The sequence below is a fragment of the Homo sapiens genome, chromosome 10, assembly GCF_000001405.40.
Source record: "Homo sapiens chromosome 10, GRCh38.p14 Primary Assembly".
In the NCBI taxonomy this organism is placed as follows: domain Eukaryota; kingdom Metazoa; phylum Chordata; class Mammalia; order Primates; family Hominidae; genus Homo; species Homo sapiens.
The window spans coordinates 53,832,627-53,850,756 of NC_000010.11; the positions used below are offsets into that span (position 1 = coordinate 53,832,627).

The 18,130-nt window shown below is 33.1% G+C and overlaps 1 protein-coding gene across 19 annotated transcripts in view; it reads right to left on the reverse strand.

Moving 5' to 3' along the window:
* Positions 1–18,130, reverse strand: part of PCDH15 (protocadherin related 15) — a 1,825,172-nt gene that overhangs the window by 29,856 nt on the left and 1,777,186 nt on the right. For all 19 annotated transcript variants that reach the window (XM_047425663.1, NM_001354420.2, NM_001354429.2 and 16 more), the window contains one exon: positions 7,694–7,870. In XM_047425663.1, coding sequence (XP_047281619.1) covers positions 7,694–7,870 — 177 coding nt within the window. The remainder of the gene's footprint in view (positions 1–7,693; positions 7,871–18,130) is intronic.

Sequence of the window (18,130 nt, forward strand, 5' to 3'; positions counted from 1 at the left end):
ATATATAAAGTGCTTATGTTGAAAAATACAGAAAACACAAAAAAATGCAAAAGAAAAAATTAAAATGGCCCTAAATTTCATTATCAAAATATAATCAATGCCATGCTTGTGTACTTTTTTCAGTCTATTTTATGCCCTTTTGAGACATTTAATTTTAATATTCAGAGTGACCATGCTGATTTTAAATCCCGTTAACACACTGTTCATTGCTTAAAAATAGAAGTGCCTGGTATCACATATGAATTCCATCACATATGTAACTCATAAACTAATTCATATCACACATGTGGCAATTAGAATGCTTTTTTGCTTTTTTTAAACAGATACGCTTTTATAGATTAAAAATGTACTTTTTATAGCAATTTTCCAAGCTCATTGTTACACGTTAAAAGAAAATAAAAATTTAGCCATTTTTATGATTACTAGAAATAGAATAGTGAAACTTCTTGTTTGAATTGTTTATTAGATAAAGGAAGAGATTCTAAATGATGCATAGATCAAGAATTGCTTCACAGGAACTATATTATTAGAACAAGGAAGAATCAGATCCAGAAGAGGATCATTAATTTAAGGGAAGAATATACCCCTACAATGTGGAGTTCAGTTGACAGATCAAAATTCTATTGGATTCCTGGATTTCATATCCAAACTCTCTAAAGTAAGATTTGTTAGTCTTTTTACACTGCAAGAGCCCTATTACTTAGATACTTATTTTCACTTATCAATGTGATGTCATAAACAATTTTTTACTAGAAGGATGGATCACTTTTGAACCCACACCTGATCTAGACTATCTTTCTTTACTTTGTGTATTTAAAACAACTTGTCTGGGTAAAAATTCTTGAGTCATAACATTATCCCTTACAAAACAGCAAAATTGCTTCCATTGCCTTTTGTCATTTTATCATGCAAATGAGATATGCAGGGCTTACCTAATTTTTGTTCCTTTATGAGTAAGATATTTTTATTTCTGTTTCAGTGATTTTTAAACATATTCAGATACTATTCAAAGAAACATGGCTACCTTTTCATTGATTTTTGCCTGTAATATAATAAACTCTTGAATTCTTTTTTCGATTTTTTGCTTCTGTTATAAATACTACAATTTTAACCTCAGAAATAACTGTCATTATCAGGTTGTATTTTAATCGTCCTATAAATATATTTTGATCTCTTTTATTATTTATATGTTTTTTCCTTTTTCTTAATATTGCATAAATTTTCAATGGATACACTTCATGTTGTCAATTTAATTTTCACATGCCTTCTCATTTCAGGAAAGGTTGAATCCAGGTGCTCAATTGATTTTAGGAGATAAAATTTAATTTATAAATTAGGCACAGTAAGATATTAACAACAATAACTAATAACAAAATAGAACAATTATAGAACTATAGTGTAATAAAAGTTATGCAAATGTGGTTTCTCTCTGTCTCTGTCAATATCTTATTGTATTGTACCATTGGTAACTGAAACTGAAGAAAGCAAAACCACAGAAGAGGGTTGACTGCTATACTCCAGTTGGACTGAGGGGAAGGCACTTTAGATTAAAGACTACCACCGTGTAGGAAAGGGACAATTCTCACGAGAGAAAGTGGAATTCTTTTACCAGAAACAGGAGAAGGACTCAAGCCATGTAAAACACACACACCATTTCACCAATCCATACCATTCTGTTTTCTACTAAAAATGTTAAACTGTTTTCCAATGGTTTCTGTAGGAGAAAATTTCCAGAGTTATATATTCTCCCTCTGGGTCATCAGGTTATTATCTCCTGATTTTCCATATTTATTTTGTTTTTTAGTATTTATTGCTGATCCCGTTTTTCCACTGCTTACTTATCCTAAAAAAGAGATAGATCTGCCCAAATCCAGCATCAACACAGAAATGTGTTTTTTTTTTTTTTCTCGTCATTTTCATCTACAGTGTACTCAGTTACTATATGCAAACCTTTTGTAATTCTAAGGGAAGGGTATACAGGTCCCTTCCCAGGATGTAGCCAACATGAATTGATTACTGCTATGTTATCCTGAAATGAGATAAGTTGCTAAACCAATGTCATGTCTTATTATTTTCTCAAGCACATGCAAACATGTATTTCTGCCTCCATTGATGGATATGGGGCCTAATGTTGTGTTATTCAGCATATAATTAATAAATACATAATCAACAATCTACCCTGCATCTCACCTTCGTGACTGATTACCTTGATGATGATGATTTTGATACTGCAATGTACATATGAATGTAGAAATAAGTAAAGGGTGAGCAGGAGATTGTACTCTAGACAGTAGAGGGACAACTGTCTATTTCCTTTGTAGGTACACAATTTAGGCGTACAGAGTGGGCAGTGGTTAACATATCTACCTACATTCATTACACTGTATAAGATTTTTCTGCTTAATCAAGCAAATCATGGTTAGATCATCAACTATTTTCTTTTCACAGTTTCATAACTGTTTAACTAGATTCTAATAATTAGTATTCCATTGATTTGGATTTTCAGTATTTTGAATTTATATGTATAGTTTTTTACTTAGAACATTGAAAGAGGCTTTATCAGAGCCTGTTAATCAGATACCGTTTAAGGTCTAAGTGTGTTTTTAAACATTGTGGTTTAAAGGCAGTGTATAAAGTCTTTTTCTGCCTTCTCCATCTTTCTCTTACGATTTGGACATACTGTTTTTAAATAGGCTGGATATAAGACAGATAAACAAGCTAAAATGTATTTGCTTATTTTTAAATTTTAATTAAACTATATTTTAAAGTAGTGTGTTCTGTTTTGTGTAGAATGCAGAAAGCCACAAGAGAATATGGCTATTAACAGCAACAACAAAATGACAAAAAAGTGCCAGGTTATACTAAAATCATAAATTTCCTTGAGCTGAAGTCACAATGTGAGCAAAAAAAACCAAATTCCATTGAGTGACAATTAGGATAATTTCATGGTGAGATGTGACCATACATTGTTTCACCTTTGGCAGAAAAGGTTAAAAGTGGCTGCCATAGGCTGGGCACGGTGGCTTATGCCTGTAATCTCAACACATTGGGAGGCTGAGGTGGGATGATTACTTGAGCTCAGGAGTTTGACAGCAGCCTGGGCAATAAAGTGAGACCATGTCTCTACAAAAAACAAAACAAAACAAAACAGCTAAAATTGTAATAAATAAGGTTAGAATTATAGACACCCACAAACACAAGGGGAGTCTCCCCTCATTTGAAAACTTCTTTGCGTAGATTTCTGTAAGATAGATTGGGGGACAAGGCAGGACACAAGAGAATATTCCTTCATGGTGTAAGAATAGGAACAAATCAGCAAGGCTGGTGCACAGGCAGCAACCCTTGTGCAATTCCCCAGACCTTTATCTCAGATGAAACAAGGGCCGTAAGTATTAGAGGGAGGAGGAGGAAGTGTGCCCATCCCTGGTGCTCAGGCAAAGGTCTACTGCTTCTGGAAAAGAGGTATAAGCAAAAATCCCCTACCCCTGGGGGAGGAGCAGGAAGTCCTCTCAGGTGTAAGATCTTGCACCAATACAAAGTAGAGGTCTACTATGGATTGAGAAGGGGCAGAAAATTCTCTTGCACCCAAGACCCCCTGTAAATGTGAAGCAGAGGATGGCTGCCATGATGCCATAAGAAAGAGGGGGAAAAAATCTTGAGAAAGCCCATACCAAGGCTTACACATGCAGGCTGTACAAGGAGAACAGAGGAACCCCTATTCCATGACCCACCTCTTCCTTATAAGAGTGGAACCCAGCAGCAAGGAGGAGCAGTCTAACACTGTGGGACAGATCAGAGTGTGGGCAGAAACCTCTTCTGTGGCACAAGCATATAGAGAGCACTGAGAGCTGAGGACTGAGTAAGAAGACTGAGAAAACCCTACAGCACGCAGGCCTCTATTCTAAGACTGAGTTGACACCATTCCACCAATAAAAGAATTTTTGAAGCTTTTGGCACAGTGGAAGTAATAATTGCAACAGCAAAATCCAAATAATTCCTGAATAGCTTTACTTAACAGAGTAAATGTCTGTAATGTCCATTTACAGGCATAAACTCTATTTACCTCACTTCTTACTGTTCTTCCACACCATGTCTGGCATTCAATCAAGTAGGACACAAAAAGCCTACAAAATATAAAACAACCATTTTCAAGAAATGAAGTAACAGAGCCAGATAGAGATAACCCAGATATTGGAACTGTCAGACAGGAACTCTGATTCAACTCTGATTAATACATTGCAAAATAGCAGAAAGCACAAACATGCCTGAAGCGATGGAGAAATTCAGTAGAGTGGTGGAAATAAGAAATAATCTAATAGAAATGCTAGAAATATCTTTCTAAAAAGATAAAAAGATGAAGAATTTCTTCAGTGAGTTCATCAATAGGCTAACACAGATGAATCAGTGAATTCAAAAATAGGGCAGTAAATATTATTCACACTAAAATACAAAGAAAAAACTGTGTGTCTATGTGGGCGGGGGAGGGGAGCAGAGTCAGAACGGAACAAAATTATGAGAAAAATCAAATTGTAATTGGAATCCCAGAAAAGGAATAAAGAGAAAATGGGCATAAGAAATATTAGAAAAAATGTCTGAGAATATTCCAGAAATAAAAAAAGAAAAAACTCAAAATCAAACTCACAAAAAAATGCAGCTCCAAAGAGTTGAGAACTACAAGGATAAAAAAGCAGGATAAGAGTAATATATAATTATTGCATAAAATCTAAGCAATTCAGGTAACCAAAAATAAAAAAATTAAAATACCGATAAGCTGGCCAAACAAAATAAGTTATTAACATATCACTAAAAGTCATTCCAGTCCTGTCTATGCATTTATGAGCTTTTTTATTTTTGATTGCCAAAATATATTTTTTCAAATCAAAGTAAGTTCCCAGGACAAATTATTATTATGATGATTTCTAATCCTTTGACCTGAGCATTCCAACATCCTCAGAAGCTTAGATTTTAAGGTGAAAGGAAATTGAAAGAACACTTCCATTGACCTGGACCGGCATCTTAATGTTCTAGTACATTTATGCAGTGTTAAAAACTAAATAACCAATAACTCTCACAACTACAGAATAGATACCAATACTTGGGCACTGGCATTATCAGCCTTGGAAAACACACACACACACACACATACACACATATACACATGTATATGTATGTGTATACAATTTTATTATAAAATCTTTCAAGAAACAATTCTAGAGTTTCAAATAGACCAGTGACTCTAAGCTTACTATAATACTTCAAGGTGAAGACTGCTAAGGCAAAATTTTCATATTTCATGGCTATTCTATCTTTTCTTCAATATAAACATATATTATTTATTTATTTATTTATTTATTTATTTATTTATTTAGAGGCAGAGTCTTGCTCTCTTGCCCAGGATGGAGTGCAGTGGCATGATCTTGCTCACTGCATGCTCGGCCTCCTGGGTTCACGCCATTCTCCTGCCTCAGCCTCCCAAGTGGCTGGGACTACAGGTGCCCGCCACCATGCCCGGCTAATTTTTTGTATTTTTAGTAGAGACGGGGTTTCACCGTGTTAGCCAGGATGGTCTCGATCTCCTGACCTCGTGATCCACCCACCTCGGCCTCCCAAAGTGCTGGGATTACAGGCGTGAGCTACCGCGCCCGGCCAAAAATTTATTTTATGATTTATATATATTCTGTTTTTTCCTTGCCTGCTGGCTATGATAGTTATTTTATTGAATTTAGATGTTTACTGTCCATAATATAATTTAGGTTTGGAAAAACTTATTTAGAATTAATTAAAGATGTTCATCTTGTATTTCATGGTGTCACTTAAAACCCAAGTGGCTTTTTTTTCCCCAAATATTTAATCTCTAGAAGGTTTGCTAGTTAAATTCAAATTCTAATCACCATTATTTTACTCTTTAAAGTTAGCCCAAATATAATACATATTTTTATATTCAGGTAAAAACACCCTAAACTCAATCAATCGTGAAATTTAAAAACAAAACTAATGTATGCAAAAAACACAGAATGCAGGTAGATTCACATAAAAAAGAAATGTGTTGATTTTCTGACAATCGAAAGAATATATATGAATTACTTTGGAAGTTTATTCCTAAACTTTTTAAATTAATAAACTTTTTAAATTAATAAAACTTACAAAAAATTGGCTTGGTAGATCTAAATGTTGCTTCATTTTGGTGGTGACTATAAAATCAGAGTGCGAGCTATTACTTCATTCATCTATATTTCCTCCACGGTTAGTATCCTGTTTTGCACATGGCCCAAATATCTATTAAAAATGAATTGATGAGCCAGGCACGGTGGCTCACACCTGTAATCCCAGCACTTTGGGATGCCAAGGCGGGCGGATCACCAGGTAAGGAGATCGAGACCATCCTGGCTAACATGGTAAAACCCCGTCTCTACTAAAAATACAAAAAATTAGCTGGGCGTGGTGGCGGGCGCCTGTAGTCCTAGCTTCTCAGGAGGCTGAGGCAGGAGAATGGCGTGAACCCGGGAGGTGGAGCTTGCAGTGAGCGAGATTGCGCCACTGCACTCCAGCCTGGGGCACAGAGTGAGTCTCCGTCTCAAAAAAAAAAAAAAAAAAAAAGAATTGATGAGTAACATGTTAAATAATTATGGCTTTTAAAAAATTTTAGCTGATATTAAATCATTATTTTATTATTGCCAAAATAGAAGTGATGAAATTTTGTCGATGAACACATTTAAAATAAAACTAAATTCAGAATTTATTAATTTGAATAAAAATTGAATAGATATTTACAAAATAAATAAATTTACATACACATAATATAGATATATTTGTAAATGTGTATATGGATATGTTTATATGCTGTTTAAAAAGTATAGACAAAGAAAAACTAAATTATGATGTTTCACATATAGAGTTCGGCATGACTATATATACAGGCACATATAAACTATTATGATTGTATATCAATATATATTTTTAACTAAAAATGTTTCATTGAGATAGAATTTCATTACAAGACCCAGTTGGACACTAGGTGTCACCAGAGTAAAGAAAATTCTGTTAACAATTTTTTTTTTTTTAAGTATTTAAGTGTGCTCGAATAACATCCAAAGAAAGTAAGTAGCAGGATTTTCTTTAAGATTCTGCACTTTATTTATTTTTAGGATTTATAACTCAAATTTTTAAGTTCCTGCTAGGATGAAATTTCACATAGAGCATGAACTTAAATGGGAATGATTATCCCACCTGCTCTCCACCTGTAAGTTAAAGAAAAAAGCAGATATTGATTTTTGCTGATTTAGTAGACCTGTAAGAAAGGTGGATTTCTTCTTAAAATGCAAGCATATGAAAATCATTGCAGAAAAACTGCCTCTTTAAGAATCTGTGCTTTCCTCATTAATAGCCAGTGCCCTTGAGCAAGAGTGAGGAGCTGGCAGCAGGTGATTTCAAGGAGCTGTTCCTTGTTCTTAAGTACAAAAGGTCATCTGATGCCCATAAAGAAAATGGGCCCTCTGAAGTCACTGTAGCCCACACTTAGACCTGAAAACTTTAAGGCATGAGAATCCTAGGTATTTCAGGTTCTTTGCTTACACTTCACTTTCAGTAACTATTTGGTGGGTTTTAAACTTTAAGTACTTATAGCCTCAAGTCAGAATCATCTATGGTTGCTATTGTAACCAAAGAGCTGTTACAGATAACAAAAAGCACTTACTTAAAAAGCTCATTTCTATCGATGGCTCTGTTGGTTTGGGGGTCAATTGCATAGACAGTCAAGTCACATTTGGTGTAATCTTCTAGGGAAAAGGCATCTCCATGCCGGCGAGCTCCAATGGACTCCACTACGACCTTGGCACCAGGAATTTGTTCCTGAACATAGCGATCCAAGATCCTATAAATCAAACAAAGTACAAACATGACAGTCCAATGGGCTTTCTGGGAGTAAAAAATTACTCTTAACTTGAAAAGACATTTAGTAAATGAAAAATGATGACAGCCTAGTTTTTTGTTAATGTTTACTGAATATAAACCCTTGAAAAACATTCTCTATATTTTTTCAGCATTTAGCTCCCAATGATGCTAGAAGCTGAATACGGTAGAAAAGGTCACCAACCATGTCCTATTTAACTTTAGGCTTTTTGAATTTATGATACTATTTGAGCTTTTACATGAGAAATGCCAAATATGCTGTACAAATAAAGCTGTCTATGCTTTATAGGAGGCATGGGGTCTTAGAACCCTTGACTTCACATGGTTGGTGTCATAAATTACATCTCCCACTAAAGTCTGTGACACATGACACGTAGCTATATGCTAAGAAGCAGGACTAGGATGCCTGTTTTCCCAAAGGTATAAAAATCCTTGCAGAATCACAGCAACGGGAGAATGTGGAGATATTTTGCAATGGCAGGATTACCACGTTAAGATAAAAATATGGCATGCAAATCTCAGACACTATTTAGGTGAATAAAAACAACATATACCATCTGGTATAAATTAGTGATATTTAATTTAAAAAGCAGAGACAATATTAATCAATAAGTAATTTTCCCATCTCATGACTGGATTTTAATTGAAAGTATGAATTATTACCATTTCCCAAATGTCTCATTCCTTATTAAAAACTTTATATTATTAACCCAAGTATATAAATATTAAGAGCATATAATTCAGTATTTACAGATGTTTAAATTTAAATAATTTTAATTACTATATATGATAAATATTCTAAAATTCGTAGACTCAATGCTCTTTTCTGAGTCTATATTTTGAGGTTTTTTTAGGGGGAGAAGGGCAATATATTCTAAAGTCCTTTGATACATCAGAAAATAACTTTTGCTTCTAATGCCACAATTGACATATTTCTTGCTCGACTGAAAGTATATTCCCTTAAGAGTCTTGTATGTGCTTGGTTTGCCTTGTTATTAGAACAATGAGGTTACTAAACTTTGGAGGAAATGGCTCTACCAGTGCATGCCAGGAGACACTACCAATCATAGTGAAATGTTTGCTTGCTTGTTTTTAAATGTTTGTAACCCAGTACTGTTGAAGTCTGTCTTATTGAAGTACTATTCATTATTTTCCTTTTCTGTCACCACTCCACGCCCACTGGTCTCTCGGCTTCGCAATTTCTTTTCTGATGACATCCTTGAAGTAGACTAAGAAAAGATGATGTGTAAAAAAGGAGGAGGAGCAAATTCACTTGGAAAATATCAGTTAATAGTTGAATGCCTGCAATTCCAGCTAGTCGGGAGATGAAACAGAAGAATCGCTTGAACCCGGGAGGTGGAGGTTGCAGTGACTCCAGCCTGGGCGACAGAGCAAGATTTTATCTCCAAAGGGAAAAAAAAAAAAAAAAAACAACCCCGGGAACCTGAAGATAATGGATGTACTGAGAGACACAGACTAGTCTAACATCATTTGGACTGTGTTTTTCAGATTTTTTTTCCTGAGAGATTTATGCTCATTTAACAAAAATAAGAGAGGCCTCGGAGTCAAACCATATTATACTCTTGACATTTTGTAGGAGGCACAAACAATAATGATATAATGTTGAGGAGTACAGATGTCTGGCTGGCTTCAATTTTAATTTCCTTTGCCTTTCAATTGCATAACCTTAGACAAGTAATCTTAAGCTCTCAAAGTCTCAGGTTTGTTTGTTTGCTTTTTGAGATGGAGTCTCATTCTGTCGCCCAGGCTGGAGTGCAATGGGGCAATCTCGGCTCACTGCAACCTCCACCTCCCGGGTTCAAGGGATTCTCCTGTCTCACGCCTGGATTACAGGCATGCACCACCACACCTGGCTAATTTTTGTATTTTTTAGTAGAGACAGTGTTTCACCATGTTGGTCAGGCTGGTCTCAAATTCCTGACCTCAAGTGATCCGCCCGCCTCGGCCTTTCAAAGTGCTGGGATTACAGGCATGAGCATCACATCTGGCCATGTTTCCTTAAATAGAAAACAAGGAAATAATGTACCACATGGGGCTGAATGTGCATTCGGTGAAATAAAGCTTTTACACAGTTCCTAGCACATAGTAACTATTCAACAAAATGAATCTTATTTTTATTAATTTGACTGAAATATTTCCATTAATAAGCTTCTTCCTTGTCTCAAATTCATTCAAGGCCTTTAATTAATTTGTGGAATAGGAAAGTATACTTCTCACTAGTATAATCAATCAGTTCACAAATCAAAACGCAAACAGGAGTACCTAGTTAAATACAATGCAATAGATGGCTCTCTGTCCCAATACTTTGGTCTAACAATTTATGCCTTCTCCAGTGCATTTTGGCATTGATTTGACATGTTCCAAGGAAATCCTTCATATAAGCATAGATTAATTGTGTGTGATCCTACAGTGAAGAAACATATCTATTGTGCTTGGGTTCTTTTCTATTTTCAGTGCAATACTGCAGAATCATTTCACTAAAAAAAATAGATGTGGAATAAAATATAACTGTACCAATTCCTTCATGGTAGCAGGGAATCATGAATAAAAGAAGTCTAAAAACAAATTATGTCATTTAAAACATGCAATAATGTCTTCACTTTGAGCATTTTTTTGTTAAACTTTTAAAGATCTTTTGGGACAAAGTATATCTTATGATAAAAAGAGATATAGCCTAATCTTAACTGCTTCTGTATCTTTTTCTTATAAATGTAAGTAAAACTAAATACCTTTTAATTGAGAACACATTTCATAAAAATCTATCTTTTCATTTATCATCTATATCTATATACTAAGTATTTTCTACATCTATATTCATTACCTATATGTATATAAATTTCCTCACATATATACATATACCCCCACACACACAAAGAAAAAGAGATTTGCAATGATGTTTATCTAACCCATAATATTTGTATCATACACACACATATCAAGAAAGATGTCCATAATGATGTTTATGTAATGTTAATAATGCTTAGAGCTGGATGGTATGATTTTGAGTTTACCTTTTATAACTTTCTTCTTCATATATTATATTGCTTATATTTCTTTATAATGGGAATAAAAGAACAATATAGTTATATTTTTAAAAAATCTCCTTAACTCCCTATTTCCTCTCCCCAACTTCGTGATAAAAAAAGTCTTCATATAAATCTATATTTTCTAGTTTAAAAATGAAAAAAATTAAATTGGATTCAGGGCTTTTCATAAAATTATAGCAAAACTCACTCAGGGAAGTGTTAAGTAGGAAAATTTTCATTTATTCATTCCTTCAACAGATGTTTATTCAATGCCTATCCTGGGCCAGAAGCCATTCCAGACACATGGAATACATCAGTGAACAAAATACAATCTTTGATGTCAAAGAAGAATTTACATTCAAATTGAACAAGACAAGTAACAGATCATGGATTGATAAAATTGGTAAAAGTGTTCAGAATAAATATCATTGAGACTTTGATATTTGAGCAAAAACTTTAGGGAACAATGTGTGCTGTGGCTATTCTAGGAATGAGTGTTCTAAGAAAAGAGAATTGCTAACTGCTTGTATAAATGTGCTGATGTAGTAGTGTGTGGCCAGAGCAGATCACGTGGGGACTTTGAGGATTGTAAGAGCATTGTTTTTTGTTCTGAGTGAGATAAGAATCTGTTGCTGGTTTTGAATACTAAAGTAATATGATCTACCTTACATTTAAAGGAGGCACACTGGTTGCTGTGTTGAGACTAGGCTGAGTAGAATCAGGAAAACTAGTTAGTAAAGAACTTAAGTACATGAAGGTTCATTAAATGCTCAGCCTACTCAATAATTTAGAAGAAAAGACACAACCCAATCCATGACTATTAGCCATATGAAATAAAATATAAATATCAGAGCAGATATAAGCAAAACTTTGACCAAAAAGAAAACACAAAAAATCAAGAAACAGAAAATTTGCTTTTTTGGAAAAAACATGATATGACCATAAAAACAGACACGTACACCAATGAAACAGAAGAGAAAACTCCAAAATAAATCCACACTCTTACAGCCAATCATTTTTGACCAAGATGTGAAGAACATACACTGGGGAAAGGACAATTTTTAATGTATGATGATAAGAAACTGGATATCCATATTCAGAAAAATAAAAATAGATTCCCATCTTTTTCTATGTACAAAAATCCACTCAAAATGGATTAAAAGCTTAAACATAAGACATAAAACTGTAAAACTACTAGTAGAAAATATTGGGAAGAGACTTCAGGACATTGGTGTGAGCAAAGATTTTGTAAGACTCCAAAGAAATATAAATTTTCCAATGAAAGCAAAAATAGGCAAATGGGATTACATTAGGCAGAAAAGCTTTTACACAGCAAATGAAACAATTGTCAAAGAGACAACCTATAGAATAAGAGAAAATATTTGCAAACTATCCAATCAACAAGAGATTAATAACCAGAATATATAAGGAACTCAACAGATAAAAACCAAATAATCCAATTTAAAAATGGGCCAAGGATCTGAATAGACAATTCTCAAAAGAAGATATACAAAGAGTCAATAGGCATATGAAAAAATGCTCGACATCACTAATCATCAAGGCAATGAAAATCAAAATCACAATGAAATATTATCTCATCCCAACTGTAATTGCTATTGTCAAAAAACAAACAAACAAAAAATAACAAATGCTGTAAGGATATGGAGAAGGAGGAACATTTATACATTCTTGGGGGGAATGTAAAATAGTACAGCCATTATGGAAAACAGTATGGAGGTTCCTCAAAAAACTAAAAATAGAACTATAACATGATTCAGTAATCCCACTGCTAGGTATACATCCAAAAGAAAGAAAATCAATATATTGAAGAGTTATCTGCATGCCTATGTTTATCACAGCACTATTCACAGTAGTCAAGATATGGAATCAACCAAAATGTTTATCAACAGATGAGTGGATAAAGCAAATACAGTATATATATACAATCAAATATTATTTAGCCATAAAAAGAACAAAATCCTGTCATTTGCAGAAACATGGAAGAAACTGAAGGTTATTATGTAAAGTGGAATAAGCCAGGCAAAGAAGAAATATCACATATTCTCATTCATATGTGGGAGCTAAAAAATGGATCTCATGGAGGTAGAGAGTAGAATGGTGCTTACCAGAGGCTGAGAGGGGAAGAAAGATGGGGATAATGATAAAATGGTTAATGGATACAAAAATACAGATAGAGAAAATAAATAAGTTATAGTATTCAACAGTACGGTAGGGAATTTATAGTTAAAAATAATGTGTTGTATATTTCAAAACAGCTAGATAAGAAGAATTGTAATGGTCCCAATACAAAGAAAAATATTGGAGTTGATGGATATTCCAATTATGCTGATTTATCAGTACACATTATATATATATGAATCCAAATATCACATATATCCCAAAAATATGTACAACTAGGTTATATCAATAGTGTATGTGTATACACACACACACACACACACACACACAAACAAAAAAAGAATTAAAAAATGAATGCCAAAAATTTCCCTGAATCTGACTTCTTGGTAGCAATATACGTATTTAAAATGCAAATAGTACAATCAAGTATGAAGCAAAACAGTATCTGATTATGTCGAGCATTCTCAAAACAGAGAACTGGCTGTGATTGGTCTTCTAAAAAGTGAAAAATATGTTAATAAATTTGGATGATAATTACAATTATTGAATAAAAATTACATTTTAAGGCTATATTGTTCCACTTTACTTTGAATGCTCTCTAACATACTCCTGTTAATGTCTATTTAATTATGTCACCTTTAGGAAAAGTTTTAAAAACAGAAAACTTCTAAAGAAATACGTTAATATAGCTAATACAAACATTTTATGTAACATATGTTAGTATAGTACCACATACTAATTAATGTCCAATACAAAACAGTTTATCTAAATAACCTTCTTAGAATAAATGCTGAAAGGTTTATTTAACTGATTTTTTTTCCTATGCAGATAGCATTATTTTAAAATCACAAACTAAGGGTGTCAATAAACAATTGGTTCGCTTAACTTACTTATTCTTGAACCAAGTTATTTTTGGTAGATGCTCTAAATTTCAATTTACAGCATTACCTTATCCAGTTACCTGTATATACATCTTCAATTAGTTTCAACTAGAAATTGCATTATGAAAAACTGTAGTGTAAGGTGTTTACTGATAGTTTTATAGCTGGGACAGGTATTTACTCATGGTTGATTTAGCTTTTTATTTATTTTTTTACACTAAAATTATTACAGCAGCCATAATCTCAATTACCCATTTGTCTGTGTGAATGAGTTGAGTTAAAATTACCATGTGATGAGAATTTCTGGTTTTGCATGCTCAGTTTACTCCCAAGAAAAGATGGGTTGGGTTTTTAATTAGGTTTGCCTCCTAAGAGGCAGTGTAACAGAGGAAACTCCATCTGCTGGTGGCTGGTAGACGTAGATTAAAATTAAACCTCCATTATTGTGTCTTTGTGGAAATTACTTAACTTTTCAAAGTTTCAGGGAATTTATCTGTACAGTGGGAAAAGTAGTCAAACCTACCTCAAAGGTCCTCTGTGATAGGTTAAGGAGACTACACCCATTAAATGCACAAAAATCTAACCAATATGAAGCGTGTCATAAATGTTGGCTACCTGTTGTGATGGTTACAAGAACTCTTCAGATTTCATGATTATAAACCCTACTTAGGCTTTTGTTGAGGTAAATGGCTTATATTTATCTAGCATCATAGAGAGTTCCACCCCAAGTGCTTATCAATATTTTTACACAAGCTTAGCTAAATTAATCAATAGGCATTGCAGCTGGCTGGAGGGATAAAAATACAGGCATACAGTTCCTACTGTTCTGAACTTCTTTCCTCCATTAATACAGACCCACAGGGACTCTACCCAGACCATATCCTAAGTAGTGCTCTAGATGCCATGGAGCATTTTGTTCATTACATTACATGGTAACCTCTCTGTGGTATCCCACAAGATAAAAATATTTTCCTCTAATCTGGAATTAGACTTTGAAAGAGTTCTTTTGTCCCAGAAGAGATATGGTTTTGTTAATTTTGTAACTGAGTCTGTTCTTTTTGTTTAGCTTGTTTGCTTCTTTCACTTTGGCCCTAACAAGGTGACAGTCAAGTTTGTGACTACTCTATATGGACTATACAGGCCTTTGCAGCATCTCTGTAATTACTTACTCTTACTCTGATCCTTTCTTTAACTTCTTTCTCATCTGTTTGCTTTATTTTTCTACACTCATTTTTAATGTATTTTACCTTTTTTTCTGTGTGAATCATTGTAAACTACTTCTGTTTTTCTTTGGAATAAGGTAGAAAATTAAAACAAAATTAAATTTAGCCTTTAATATTTATTAGACATATATGGAAGCATCTAAAATATAATTTATGACTTTCTGATACAAACGGAATTCTCTTGCATAAACATTTTGTGGAGTTTATGTCTCACATTAAAAAACAGCAGTACAGACTGCGGTAAATTGTGAATAAATTGAAGAAAGTATAGAAAAGAATAATAAATAGGATTAAGAGAACAGAGGAATTGACTCTTGATGATTAAAGTGGCCTCTAAAGGAAGTGATATATCTACCTTGTACCATGAGTTGGGGTGAATTACAAAAATAACAAGCTGTTCAATTTGACAAAACTTCTAGGTTATAAAAAAAAAAAGAGGAGGAAGAGAGGAAATAATTTTAAAAGAAATAAATGTCCACTATGTATTTTAGAGATCTCCATAAAGCAACTGTGATTCAAATGTTTTGATAAAATAATATATAATGATGTCCTTATTTTTACACTACAACTATTTTCTAGTTATTTTCTACTTGGTACAAGCAAAAGATCTTAAAAATAAACTGAACTGAATGATATTTGAGGGGAGAAAAACAGATTATAATACAAGTTAAGATTAACCGCTCAATCTTTCTTTGCTTTTCTTCCTAATTTCTAGATCTTAAAATAAAAACATAAATAAAGTTGTCTGGAAATGTTTTTTTCCTTAGTGTTTTATAAGTGAATTTCACTTTTGAACATGAATAACCCCTTACCTTCAAATCTCAGGAAAAAATATACCTGTATCAATTATTTTTTCTCCATCATAAGTTGATAAGAACATTTTAAACACTTTAAAATTTTGAAGCACAATTCAAAGATTCAGTTAATATACGGGTACCTTCATTACGATGATTCATTGTGCATTAATTAATTTTATTTCTTTAATGTATCTTTCGATCATGCTATTTTCTTAAACAAAATAGTTTCCCCAAAATTTTGTTTGTATTATTTTCATAGTGCAAATAAAGGCAACATAAACATATTTATCTTTGATTTAAAACTAAACACATAGTGTTTTTAATTGATCTTCCAATAAAATATATTTTTAATCTGGGAAGATCTCATTTATCTCTTTTTGAAAACAACAATAGCTCAAAGATTTTAAACTTTTTTCACCTAAAAGCAAAATGAAAATGTCCTCAATGTTCATTTATTTGTTTGTTTGTTTTGGCTTTCCATTGTCTCCAAAAGTTTGAATACTAAAAAAGTAAAAAAGATAAAAAGTAGAAAGAATATTGATTCTGACAAAATACACCACCTAAATGTAGCAGCCCTGCCTCATTCTTTAGTTTTTAATCTTTTTTTTTCTATGTTGCTGAGAAGGCATGGAGAAAGTGTGCAAATATGATTTCTTTTTTTTATATTACATCTCTCAGATGGCAAGTGTTAACTAAGAAAGTTGATTTATTTTGTATATGTATATATATTTTTTCCAAACAGAAGCTGTTATAATAGACTATAAGCATTCAGAAATGTGTTAATGAATGAATGAATGACGACCATTAAAATAAGAAACATATCTATCTGAAGCAAACATGTCAGCATACAGGACCCTTTACGGAATCAATATGCAATGGAATCTTAAGAAAAAAAGTAAAACCTACTTGATAAGTGATTTGCTTTTGGTTAACTTTGCTTATAGAAAAATATGTACAAATTGGCCGGACGCGGTGGCTCATGCCTGTAATCCCAGCACTTTGGGAGGCTGAGGCAGGCGGATCACAAGGTCAGGAGATCTAGACCATTGTGGCTAACACGGTGAAACCTCGTCTCTACTAAAAATATAAAAAATTAGCCGGGCATGGTGGCGGGCACCTGTAGTCCCAGCAATTCAGGAGGCTGAGGCAGAATGACATGAACCCGGGAGACGGAGCTTGCAGTGAGCCGAGATCGCGCCACTGCACTCCAGCCTGTGCGACAGAGGAAGGCTCCGTCTCAAAAAAAAAAAAAAAAAAAAAAAGAAAGAAAGAAAAATTTGTACAAATTTGGAAAATCCAAGTCATACAAAATAAAAAAAAGCTTACCTTAATATACGTGAAATATATTATCAGAGACAAAACACTAATTATTGTGACTTTGAGCCATGTGACAGATGATTAATCCTTAAAGTAAACAATTTACTCATATTGGGCTAAGATAACATTCCTCCAAATAATAACTAAGAATCCACGTAAAATAAAACCTTTTAACTCTCAAAAATAGAACAGAACTGAAAATCATGGAGCACCTTAGTTTATAATCATCTTTGTTCCATGTGATTATTTCAATACTAAAGTTTTGGAAACAATTAAAAATCCTGCCATATTTAACTAAAAACAGAATTTTAAATCTGTGCTTTTTCTACATTTCAAAGAGTTAAGCATTAAAGATGCTACTGCAATGTGCACAAGGATTATTATAAAATAGTAGCTTTTAATTGTATAATTGCATATTGGGGTATCTTCAGTTCTGTAAAGAACTATGATTTCTTTAATCATAATTAACCTAATGAGTTAAAGACAAGTCATTCTTCTTGTAAACAGAGGTTACTTCTCTACTAAATAATGCTCCAAATGAATATTTCAAAAAGTAGCAAATAAATTTTCTTTCTGTCAAAACAATGAATTTCCAAGGCTTTGAATAAAGCTTAGTCACACTTAACCTTTTTTTAAAGAATAGTAAATTATACCTTGAATAATAAATGGTAGGATTTATTATTATATTTCTGGTTTGTATTTTATTTTTATGATTGCTTTTAGTTTATTTTATAGCTATTACATTCCTATTACAGAAACATTATTTTCAAAAATTGTACTATTAAAATGGGTGTGCTGCATTATCTGATAAAAATTAA